Here is a 13,208-nt window from a genome sequence, read left to right on the forward strand (position 1 = left end):
TTATTTCCCTAAAAATTATGTGTGATAAACTGCACATATAATCTCTAAAGCAGGAAACATGGCTTTGAGCCTGCCCTTTTCAACCTTACATTTTCCAGCTCTTGTCCTCTTCATCTTTAAAATGAGAGATTTTCCAATTACTTGCCACATTCTTAAGTTCTATGATTTTTCAATATCTAAAATAAGAATACTCCTTGTTTTCACAGTTCCAAAGTAATTTTACTCTGAGGAGAGACATGGTATTTTATCCAACTGTTTGAATTGCTGAGGTGATAGTAAGTAGGTGGGACTGGTACGACTGCCCTACCTGTCCTGCCCTGTCTTGCTTTGCCTGGGGCAGCTTGCCTACAAGAATGATTACAGGTGACATGTGAACAAATGAAGGGAAAGAAAAGAATTAAAGGGACCGAGCATGGTGGCTTATGCTTGTAATACCAGCACTTTGGGAGGCCAAGGCAAGTTGATTGCCTAAGTCCAGCAGTCCGAGACCAGCCTGGGCAACATGGTGGAACCCTGTCTCTACTAAAATACAAAAATTTAAAAATGTATAAAAATTGAAAATAAAAATACAAAAATCAGCCAGGCATTGTGGCATATGCTATGGTCCTCACTACTCGGGAGGCTGAGGTGGAAGGATCACCTGAGCCCAGGAGCCAGAGGTTGCAGTGAGCCATGATTATGCCATTGCACTCCAGCCTGGCTGACAGAGCCAGACCCTGTCTCAAAAAAAAAAAGAATTGAAGGTACTGTCTTGAAAAGAATTGGTGAACTGGCATTTCTAGGCCTTGAAGAAAGAGAGGGAGAATGTATCAATGAGTGAAATCAAAACAAAAAAGACTTCTAAGGGGATGTGAGAATTGGATTAAAGTATTCTTTGATTTTTTAAAAATACACTTTTAATTTTAGAGTAGTTCTAGGTTTACAGCAAAATTATGAATGTTATACGGGGTTCCCATACACTCCACACCCCGTTTCCCCAGTTGTTAATATCTTACATATGGTACATTTGTCATAACTAATGAACAAATACTGACACATTATCATTAACTAAATTCTATGCTTTTATTCAGATTTCCTCTGTTTTTACCCAGTCTTTTCTTTCTGTTCAGGACCCCATCCAGGATACCACATAACACCACATTATTATATCATCTTAGGCTGTGGCGATTTCTCAGGCTTTCCTTGTATTTGACGACCTTGGCAGTTTTGAGAAATGCTAGTCAACTATTTTGTAGAACGTTCCCCAACTGGGGTTTGTCCAATGTTTTTCTCATGGCAAGACTGGGGTTATAGATTTTCTGGAGGAAGACCACCGAGGTTAAAGTGCTATTCTCATTAAATCATACCAAGGGTACATACTATCAACATGACTTATTGCGGTTGATGTTAACCTTGATCATCTGACTAAGGCAATGTTTACCAGGGTTTTCCACTATAAAGTTACTCTTTTCCCACTTTCTATACTGTGCTCTTTAAAAGGGAATCACTATGCTCAGCCCACACTTTAAGGGCAGTATACCTCTGACATATTTATTTATTTACAGACAGGGGTCTTGATCTGTCACCCAGGGTGCAGTACAGCGGTATGATCAAGGCTCACTGAAGCCTTGAACTCCTAGGCTCCAGTGATCCTCCTGCCTCAGCCCTACCCTCCCTGCCCCTACCCCATGTAGCTGGGACTACAGGTACATGCCATCAAACCCAGGTTTTTTTTTTTTTTTTTTTGAGACAGTCTTTGTTGCCCAGGCTGGAGTGCAGTGGCACGATCTTGGCTCACTGCAACCTCTGCCTCCTGGGTTCAAGTGATTCTCCTGCCTCTGCCTCCCAAGTATCTGGGATTACAGGCATCTGCCACCACGCCTGGTGAATTTTTTGTATTTTTAGTAGAGATGGGATTTCACCATGTTAGTCAGGCTGGTCTTGAACTCCTGACCTCAGGTGTTCCACCCGCATCGGCCCCCCACCCCACTACCTGCCAAGTGCTGGGATTATAGGCATGAGCCACTGTGCCTGGCCTATTTTTTCTTTTTAGAGATGGATCTCACTATGTTGCCCAGGCTGGGATTACAGGTATGAGCCACCATGCCAAGCTGACTTTATTTTGTAATATCCCCCAGATTTATCTTGTTTTTCTCACAACCTCATTGTCACTCTGGCCTATCACCTCTCCTCCTCTCTTCCATTCCCTGATGTAGCAGGATTTCCCCTGTGACAGATGAATTCCTATGAAAAAAGCATACATTTCTCTCTACCTCCCTTCTATAGAAATATGGCATTAGTCAGCTACTACTGTAAAACAAACCACCCCAAAGCTCAATGATTTAAAACAGCAACATTTATTTGCTCACCTCTGCAGGTTAGCTAGGGGTCAGCTGATCCAGAGTGGGTTCAACTGAATGGCTCTGTTCAAAATATGGGTCTGGCCAGTTTAGATCTGTGCTGGGGTGTTTTCATTCTAGGACCCAGAATGGAAGGAGTTGCTACCCAGAGTGGAGGATTCTTATGGCAGTGGCAGAGTGCAAGAGGGCAAGCACCACTGCACAAATACTCTCCAAGCCCTCCTTTGCATCACATCTGCTAACATGCCAAAGTTAGTCATGTGGTCAAGTCCAAAGTCAAGGCGAGAAGAAATACACTCTGTTTTTGTGGGAGGAACTGCAAAGTCACTTGGCAAAGGGTGTGCATACAGGGAAGGACAAAAAATTGGGGCCAATGATTCAGTATACAGCAGACCATCGTAATAGATTCCAATTTCAGTGCAGGGAAGAACCAGTTCTTTGACACCATTCAGGATAGTGAAGCCAGTCAGAAAAGATTAAGAGTTGTTGTCATTGATCTTCTGCCATGGCATTGGGGAAGTAGGCTTGGTGGAAGGTGAAGCAGAATGGGAAAACAACAAAAGCAAAAACATGATCAAGCTCCCAAATTCTTCTCCTTATTTCCAAAAGTTGTGGTTATACTTTATTTTTTACTCTGTGTTCTTTCTCTTACTCTCTCCCACCCAGGTCTCTGATGTTCCTGAAAGAAAGGGGGGGAAAAAAAAGGGAAGGGGAGTGTAGGCTACAACATTTTCTCAAACTACTCCCAAATCCAATCTAAATCAATGAAACAGAAGCCAATTTCATGCTGTGAAAAAAATAACTGATGTGACTGCAAGACAGGGGCATGTTATTTTAATGCTCAATTAAGATATCTTGTAATTCCACCAAACTAACTGTCAAAAATTTCCTTTCTTCAGTGTGACACTCCCACCTCCACCCAGGGCCCAAGGGTATTGTCCCAGCTGTGCTCAGGGACAGGCCTTGTTTCTGCTGCCCTGTCACTACCTCAGCTATTAATGACCCACATTAACTTGCTGCTTTTAGAGGCACAGATGTCTTCTGTTCTATTAGTGACAGCCCCTAATGTCACCACTCACGCCTTGTGAAGATACAGCTCTCCTCTTAGCAATTCGTTCTGAAGCACAATACAGGCCCTTCCCCAACTTCCACAGCGTGGCTGAGGCAAAGCTGTAATATTTAATAAGTGCTCAAGTGTGTCAAAAGACAAATTACAAAAAATTTAGTTGAAATATCTTAATTGGCTTTTGTTTGGAATTCTAGAATCAGGCAACACCTCATTGTACAAAGTAGAATGAGTGTTGCCATGAGCTGAACAGAGGAAATTGGCTTTATAGACAGAAAAGGTCATAAAAAAGCAAAAACAGAGAACAAAAAGCAGATTGGTCATTTCAAAATTGCTTTCCTTATAAAGGTTAAAGCAGAGGGGACTTGCTTATGTCAGCCAAAACTGGCCTGTTTGAAGATTTGGCTATCTTTCTCTCTTCTCGTTTGTTGGAAGGTCAGATAAACAACTTAGTTTCCGTTTGGTGGAGTGGAACTTCAGCAAAAGTAACTTCATTTTGGTTTGATCTGTTGGACCTAGTGCAGAAGACCAGTCCAAACCATTGGTCTTCAATAAATTTTATCCAGCAACTGCTGGGAATTAGGTCTTCACCAAAACGGAGGTAATAGTTACTGAGCAACTCTTATGTCAAGCACTGTGCTTTATATTAAATCCTCACAATCTTTTAAGCAAATTTAAAAAATATATATTTACAGATAAACAAACCAATGTTAATTACAAGGATTTTAATCAAGGTCTGTCTGACCAAAATAGTCCCATACTTTTTCTACTAAAATCATTTTTGCAAAGATTATGACAGCAAGAGAGGTCTAGCATGACTGACTCTGTCTTGCTTCTAGCTTCACAGGCTGACTGTCCTCACTCACTCCTGGGCAAAAGCCAAGCTAACTATGAGAGGAATTTAGTTTACAGTTTAGTTATAAAGCCAGAATAATAATAATCCCTTCCTAAAACTGATCCCCTCCTTGTTCAGGGACTGAAACCATGTTTGTAAGACTAATGAAAGGCCACAAGATTAGGATTATGAAAGGGGCCTGAATTCTAATAAAATGTAGGTATAGCTAAATGATAAGCTCCTGAGACAAGCTCGGTTGTGGAGACCCTAACCCAGCGGTGCTAGAAGAATTAAGAGAAAGACACAGAAATATAGTACAGAGTCAGAATCAGGGGACTCATAGCCTTCAGAGCTGAGAACCCTGAACAGAGATTTACCCACATATTTATTAACAGCAAGCCAGGGATAAGTATTGTTTCTATAGATTATAGATTAAATAAAAGTACTCTTTATGGGAAACAAAGAGATGGGTCGAAATGAAAGGATGGGCTCTGGCTAGTTATCTGTAGCAGGAACATATCCTTAAGGCACAGATCTCTCGTGCTATTGTTTGTGGCTTAGTAACACCTTTAAGTGGTTTTCTGCCCTGGGTCGGGCAGGTGTTCCTTGCCCTCATTCTGGTAAACCCACAACCTTCAGTGTGGGTGTCATAGCCATCATGAACATGTCACAGTGCTGCAGAGATTTTGTTTATGGCCAGTTTTGGGGCCAGTTTATGGCCAGATTTGGGGGCCTGTTCCCAACAATAAGCAGCCATTGTTCCCCTAGATTGTTTTTCTATAATACTTTACTGCTCAGGAGTCATGTGGCCAGAGATCACAAGATTTGTAACTTCCTCAATTGCTCCTATACATAACATCAGTATTGTAAGACCTAAGACTGGTCTTTTGAGATTTTTTTCAGACTTTTGCATTCTGGCAACTGAATGACACCCCCCAGGCCTGTGACTCATGACTCAAAATCAGTCCCATGGCCCCCACCTAGAGGCAGATTCAATGCATGAGGACCATTTTCCACATCTCTATGATTTCATCCCCAACTAATCAGCAGCACCCATTCCCTAGTCCCCTGCCCACCAAATTATCCATAAAAACTCAGGATTCAGGGTTCTCAGGGAGGCTGATTTGAGTAATAATGAACTCCTGTCCTCCCACCTGGCTGGCCTTGTGTAAACTAAACTCTTTACTGCAATAATGCTGTCTCAGTGAACTGGTTTATCCATGCAGCAGATAGGAAGAACCCTTTGGGCAATTACACTACCGGGTAATCCTGCACAAATGAAAACTCAAATGTCAACATTGGCTTTAAGAAATAATATTCTCCCTTGGTCCCCAGACCCACGTAAAAAAAATGAAATAATATTAATATTCATTTTTATCACATGATTTTTTGGGGACTTTTTTTTAATTTTAGGTTCAAGTGCAGGTTTGTTATATAAGTAAACTCATTTGTTGTACAGATTATTTTGTCAGCCAGGTACTAAGCCTCGTACCCAATAGTTATTTTATCTGCTCCTTTCCTTCTACCCACCCTCCACCCTCAGGTAGGCCCCATGTCTGTTGTTTCCCTCTTTGTGTCTATGTGTTTACAGCATTTAGCTCCCACTTATACGTGAGAACATGTGGTATTTGGTTTTCTGTTCCTGCATTAGGTTGCTAAGGATAATGGCCTCCAGCTTCATCCATGTCCATGCAAAGGACATGATCTCCTTTTTTTATGGCTGCATAGTATTTCATGGTGTATATGTACTAAATGCAAAATGATTTGCATTTTTCTAATGATTAGTGATATTAAGCTTTTTTTCATATGCCTATTGGCCACATGTATGTCTTCTTTTGAAAAGTGTCTGTTCACATCCTTTGCCCACTTTCTAATGGTTTTTTTCTTGTAAATTTGTTTGTTTCTTATAGATTCTGGATATGAGACCTTTTTTTCTTCAACTTTGAAGTTCAGGGGTACATGTGCAGGATGTGCAGGTTTGTTACATAAGTAAACACATGCCATGGTGGTTTGATGCACAGATCATCCCATCACCTAGGTATTAAGCCCAGCATCCATTAGCTATTTTTCCTCATGCTCTCCCTCCCCTGGCACCTCCTGACAGGACCCAGTGTGTGTTGTTCCTCCCCATGTGTTCTCATCATTCAGCTCCCACTTACAAGTAAGAACATGCAGTGTTTGGTTTTCTAGTCCTGTGTTAGTTTGCTGAGAATAATAGCCTCCAACTCCATCCATGTCCCTGCAAAGGATATGATCTCATTCCTTTTTATGGCTGCATAATATTTCATGGTGTATATGTACCACATTTTCTTTATCCAGTCTATCACTGATGGGCATTTAGGTTGATGCCATGTCTTTGCTATTGTGAACAGGGCTACAATGAACATGCACATGTATGTATCTTTATAATAGAATGACTTATATTCCTTTGATAGCCATTCTTTCTGGAGTGAGATGGTCTTTCATTGTGGTTTTGATTTGCATTTCAATATGAGACCTTTGTTGGATGCATAGTTTGCAAATATTTTCTCCCATTCTGTAGGTTGTCTATTTACTCTGTTGATAGTTTCTTTTCCTGTGCAGAAGCTCTTTAGTTTAATTAGACCCTATTTATCAATTTTTGCTTTTGTTGCAAGTGCTTTTGGCATCTTCATCATCAAATCTTTGCCAGGTTTTATGTCCAGAATGGCACTGCCTAGGTTGTCTTCCATGGTTTTTATAGTTTTGGGTTTTACATTTAAGTCTTAATCCATCTTGAGTTGATTTTTATATATGGTGTAAAGAAGGGGTCTAGTTTCAATGTTCTGTATATGGCTAGCCAGTTATCCCAGCACTATTTATTGAATAGGGAGTCCCTTCCTCATTGCTTATTTTTGTCAGCTTTGTTGAAGCTGATCAGATAGTTGTAGGTGTGTGGCCTTATTTCTGGGCTCTCTATTCTGTTCCATTGATCTATGTGTCTTTTTTTTTTTTGTACCAGTACTATGCTGTTTCAGTTATTGTAGCCGTGTAGTATAGTTCAAAGTCCAGTAAAGTGATGCCTCCAGCTTTGTTTTTTTGCTTAGGATTGCCTTGGCTATTCAGGCTCTTTTTCGGTTCCATATGAATTTTAAAATAGTTTTTTTTAGTTCTGTGAAGAATGTCATTGGTAGTTTGATAGAAATAGCATTGAATCTGTAAATTGCTTTGGGCAGTATGACCATTTTAATGATATTTGTTCTTTCTAACCATAAATTTGGAATGTTTTCCGCTTGTTTGTGTCATCTCTGATTTCTTTGAGCTGTGTTTTGTAATACTCATTGTAGAGATCTTTCACCTCCCTTGTATTCCCAGGTATTTTATTATTTTTGTGGCAGTTATGAATGGGATTACATTCCTGATTTGCCTCACAGCTTGGCTGTTTTTGGTGTATAGGAATGCTAGTGATTTTTGTATGTTGGTTTTGTGTCCTGAAACTGCTGAAGTTGTTTATCAGCATAAGAAGCTTTTGGGCCAAGACTATGGGGTTTTCTAGATATAGAATCATGTCATCTGCAAAACTTTTCTACCTCATTTACAATTTAATTATATTTATACAAATATTATTTACCCCATAGTTTTCAGGTATATATAGTTTATAAAACATGGATTCACTTATAGTTACTAAGTTGTGTGTGTGTTTTAAGTAATAATTGCTAACTCCATGAAAATGCATGCAAGATTGTTAAAACTAATATTTTACTTGAATTATTTACATAGCAGTCATTGTGAATATGTTTGCTCTGGAAATAAATAATATCTGCTGTGTCTTCGTTACCTCTGATTTCTTATACAGCAATATGGAGAAATTGGCCTGATTTTAACATTCGATTTGGAGAACTAGAAATGCTGAGTTTCTCCTTTTACACCTGAAAAGTAACTTGAGCCCATTTTGGAGTGAGGAGCTATTTCTGATGTAAAAGATTGATATATATACATACCAAGTGGTTCATCCAACTAAAATAAGATTTGTTCAGGCATGTCCTTTCAGGGAATCAGAACCTTGCAGTTGTCACCCGTGATCTACATGATTCAGATACCTGAAATAATATCTTATGCAACCAGTATGATTTGTTCTACTTACTTGGGGTGCACATACACTAACATTTATTTTTCCAGTCAATTCATTGCAAATCAGTTTACCTTTATTTACAAGAACTAGAGTATTTCCTTTTCAAGGTCTCTTTATGTCCTCCACCTGATAGTCCAAGAATTCAGTCCAAAGCAGGGCACTTTTGTTTTCCAGATATGAGGTAGAGAGATTTGAGTCTACCAGCATGGTTGCTATGGTTGCTGTGGTTGCTACCACAGTGTTATGTTACTGAATTCTAGATCCTGAATTCTTTAGCATCTTTTATGATGAACTATTCACTGAGCACCTTCCACATACAAGATAGTGGGCTAGGCACCAGGAATACAACAGGAAACACACTAGACATGGCTCTGCCCTCACGGGGCTTTTCTAATACCACAGTTCAGTAGATGATGATATCCTTACTGGACCAGACACACAACCAACTTCATTTACTCCAGAATTGGGCTCCACAGTTGCAGCTGTCCTGGGAAGCACATAGGCTCAGATTCCATACCCTGAGTGGTAAGGTCTTGAGCATTTTGGCTCTTAATCACTCACTGAAGTAGAAAGAATCCACCTCCTTGCCCAAGCACTGAGTCCCTGGTGTCAAGCCCGAGTGACCAACTGAGAATGCACTTGCCCTTCAGGTGAGTTTCCCTTTGTGGCAATTGGTGCCTTGCCTGCCAGCTGACTTCAGGGGTTTACCCTGACAGGTTTCCCTATCTCCAATTTCAGTAGCTCAGATTAGAGTGTTGGTACCTCTTTCCCAAAAAGCTCTTGCTCTCTGATGTTACCTACATACCTCTTTTCCAGAATTTTCATAGATTAGTGGAAGAAACTGCTGCTAACCCATAAAGGGGGAGAGGAGAGGATCATCTTATGGCAACCTTTGGGTTTACACAACGAAATAGAAGCCACTGAGGAAAGCCTTCACAGAGCAATTGAGACTAGTGAATCATCATCCCCAATTGACTCCCTGCATCTGCCTAGAGAAAAAGAAAAAGTGGCTAAGATAATTGAAACAATAACCTGCCATCAGATTTGGGAGAGGGACAGGGATAAAACTCACTGCTCAACTTCAGCAAAATCTTATTTATATATCTTCTTTTCTTTTTCTGCTTTTTAAAAAGTGAAAGCAAGTTTACTAGCAAAGTAAAGGAATAAAGAATGGCTACTCCATAGGCAAAGCAGACTACAAACCTTATTTTCTGATAAACATTGTGATTTTTTTTTAAAACCAGAGCAACACAGAGCAAAGTGATGCTCTTGGAGGAAAAAAGGAAAGGACAGTAATTTTCCACAAAAGCAAAACTATATATGTGTGTGTGTGTATGTACATGTACATGTGTGTGTATGTATGTGTATTGTGTAGAGTGTTTTATATGTTTATGCCACTGTATTTTTTTGAGTATGCTAAGTACCCTGATTTGATCATTATACAACATATATATATCAAAACATCAAATTGTACCCCATAAATATATATAATTACAATGTGTTGATAAAAATAAAGAATTTTTTAAAAATATCAATTTGTACAAAGATAATAGATTTCTGGCAGCCTTATGGTATATTAATCTCAAAATAATTTTATCATAGAATGTAATTATTTCAGTTCTAAAAAAAATGTTAATTTATTGTCTCATTGATCTAATATTGACAGTGGGGTGTTAAAGTCTCCCATTATTATTGTGCGGGAGTCTAAGTCTCTTTGTAGGTCTCTAAGAACTTGCTTTATGAATCTGGATGCTCCTGTATTGGGTGCATATATATTTAGGATAGTTAGCTCTTCTTGTTGCATTGATCCCTTTACCATTATGTAATGCCTTTCTTTGTATTTTTTTATCTTTGTTGGTTTAAAGTCTGTTTTAACAGAGACTAGGATTGCAACCCCTGCTTTTTTTGTTGTTTTCAATTTGCTTGGTAAATATTCCCCCATCCCTTTATTTTGAGCCTATGTGTGTCTCTGCATGTGAGATGCGTCTCCTGCATACACCACACTGATGGGTCTTGACTCTTTTTTTTTTTTTTTTTTTGAGATGGCGTCTTGGTCTGTCACCAGGCTGGAGTACAGTGGCGTGATCTTGGCTTACTGCAACCTCTGACTCCCTGGTTCAAGTGATTCTCCTGCCTCAGCCTCCCAAGTAACTGGGATTACAGACATGTGCCACCATATCCAGCTAATTTTTGTATTTTTAGTAGAGATGTGGTTTCATCATGTTAGCCAGGATGGTCTCGATCTCCTGACCTTGTGATCCACCCACCTCAGCTTCCCAAAGTTCTGGGTTTACAGGCATGAGCCACTGTGCCCAGTGGTCTTCACTCTTTATCCAATTTGCCAGTCTGTGTCTTTTAATTGGGGCATTTAGCCCATTTACATTTAAGGTTAATATTGTTATGTGTGAATTTGATCCTGTCATTATGATGCTAGCTAGTTATTTTGCCTGTTAGTTGATGCAGTTTCTTCATAATGTCGATGGTCTTTATAATTTGGTATGTTTTTGCAGTGGCTGGTATTGTTGTTTTTTTCTCCCCCCCATATTTAATGCTTCCTTCAGGAGCTCTTGCAAGGCAGGCTTGGTGGTGACAAAAATCTCTCAGCATTTTTTCCTTCATTTCAACCTTGGTGAATCTGACGATTATATATCTTGGGATTGCTCTTCTTGAAGAGTATCTTTCTGGTGTTCTCTGTATTCCCTGAACTTGAATGTTGTCCTGTCTTGCTAGGTTGGGCTAGTTCTCCTGGATAATATCCTGAAGAGTGTTTTCCAACTTGGTTCTATTCTCCCCATCACTTTCAGGTACACCAATCAAACATAGGTTTGGCCTTTTCATGTAGTCCCATATTTCTTGGAGGCTTTGTTCATTCCTTTTCATTCTTTTTTCTCTAATCTTGTCTTCACGCTTTATTTCATTGAGTTGATCTTCAATCTCTGATACCCTTTCTTCCTTCCACTTGATTGATTTGGCTATTGATACTTGTGTATATTTCATGAAGTTCTTGTGCTGTGTTTTTCAGCTCCTTCAGGTCATTTATGTTCTTCTCTAAACTGGTTATTCTCATCAGCAATTCCTCTAACCTTTTTTCAAGGGTCTTAGCTACCTTGCATTGGGTTAGAACATGCTTCTTTAGCTCAGAGGAGTTTGTTATTACCCACCTTCTGAAGTCTACTTCTGTCAATTCATCAAACTCATTCTCCCTCCAGTTTTGTTGCCTTGCTGATGAGGAATTGTGATCCTTTGGAGGAGAAGAGGCATTTTGGTTTTTGGAATTTTCAGCCTTTTTGAGCTGGTTTTTCCTCATCTTCATGGATTTATCTACCTTTGGTCTTTGATGTTGGTGACCTTTGATGGGGTTTCTGTGTGGACGTCCTTTTTGTTGATGTTGATGCTATTCCTTTCTGTTTGTTAGTTTTCCTTCTAACAGTCAGGCTCCTCTTCTGTAGGTCTGCTGGAGTTTGCCGGAGGTCCACTTCAGACCCTGTTTGCCTAGGTATCACCAGTGGAGGCTGCAGTTTCTTCCTCTGGAAGCTTCATCCCAGAAGGGCACCTGCCAGATGCCAGCTGGAGTTCTCCTGTATGAAGTGTCTGTCAGCCCCTGCTGGGAGGTGTCTCTCAGTCATGAGGCATGGGGGTCAGGGACCCACTTGAGAAGGCAGTCTGTCCCTTAGCAGAGCTCAAGTGCTATGCTGGGAGATCTGCTGCTCTCTTCAAAGCCAGCAGGCTGGAATGTCTAAGTCTGCTGAAGCTGCACCCACAGCAGCCCCTTCCCCCAGGTGCTCTGTCCCAGGGAGATGGGAGTTTTATTTATAAGCCCCTGACTACCGGCTGCTGCCTTTCTTTCAGAGATGCCCTGCCAGAGAGGAGGAGTCTAGAGAGGCAGTCTGGCTACAGCGGCTTTGCTGAGCTGCTGTGGGTTCCACCCAGTTCGAACTTCCCAGTGGCTTTGTTTAAACTGTGTTTGTGTTTATGCTTTGTTTACACTGCATTTGTGTTTACACTTTGTTTACACTGTGTTTGTGTTTACACCGTGTTTGTGTTTACACTTTGTTTGCATGCCCACTCAGGCCTCAGTAATGGTGGACACCCCTCCTCCCACCAAGCTTGAGCACCCCAGGTGGACTTCAGACTGCTGTGCTGGCAGCAAGAATTTCAAGCCAGTGGATATTAGCTTGCTGGGCTCTGTGGGGGTGGATCTGCTGAGCTAGACCACTTGGCTCCCTGGCCTCAGCCCCCTTTCCAGGGTAGTGAACAGTTCTCTCTCACTGGTATTCCAGGTGCCAATGGGGTATGAAAAAAAATCTCCTGCAGCTAGCTTGGTGTTTGCCCAAATGGCCGCCCAGTTTTGTGCTTGAAACCCAGGGCCCTGGTGACATAAGCACCCAAGGGAATCTCTTGGTCTGCGGGTTGTGAAGACTGTGGGAAAAGCGTAGTATCTGGGCCGGAGTGCACTGTTTCTAATGCCACAGTCCCTCACGGCTTCCCTTGGCTAGGGAAGGGAGTTCCCCAACCCCTTGTGCTTCCTGGGTGAGGGGATGCCCCACCCTGCTTTGGCTCACCCTCTTTAGGCTGCACCCACTATCTAACCAGTCCCAGTGAGGTGAGCCGTGTACCTCAGTTGGAAATGCAGAAATCACCTGCCTTCTGCATTGATCTTGCTGGGAGATGCAGGCCCCACCCTGCTTTGACTCACCCTCTGTAGGCTGCACCCACTATCTAACCAATCCCAGTGAGGTGAGCCATGTACCTCAGTTGGAAATGCAGAAATCACCTGCCTTCTGCATTGATCTTGCTGGGAGCTGCAGGCCCTAGCTGTTCCTATTTGGCTATCTTGCCCGCAACTACCAATGTATGTTTTATATAGGAATTCTGATT

At 41.1% G+C, this 13,208-nt stretch overlaps 1 protein-coding gene across 1 annotated transcript in view; it reads right to left on the reverse strand.

The window, feature by feature from the left end:
- Positions 1 to 2,320: 2,320 nt before the first annotated feature.
- Positions 2,321 to 13,208, reverse strand: part of CCL28 (C-C motif chemokine ligand 28) — a 55,417-nt gene continuing 44,529 nt past the window's right edge. The window contains exon 4 of the transcript XR_427660.3: positions 2,321 to 3,018. The gene's annotated coding sequence lies outside the window, so the exon portion shown is untranslated. The remainder of the gene's footprint in view (positions 3,019 to 13,208) is intronic.

The sequence above is a fragment of the Homo sapiens genome, chromosome 5 (genome assembly GCF_000001405.40).
Source record: "Homo sapiens chromosome 5, GRCh38.p14 Primary Assembly".
Lineage (NCBI taxonomy): Eukaryota > Metazoa > Chordata > Mammalia > Primates > Hominidae > Homo > Homo sapiens.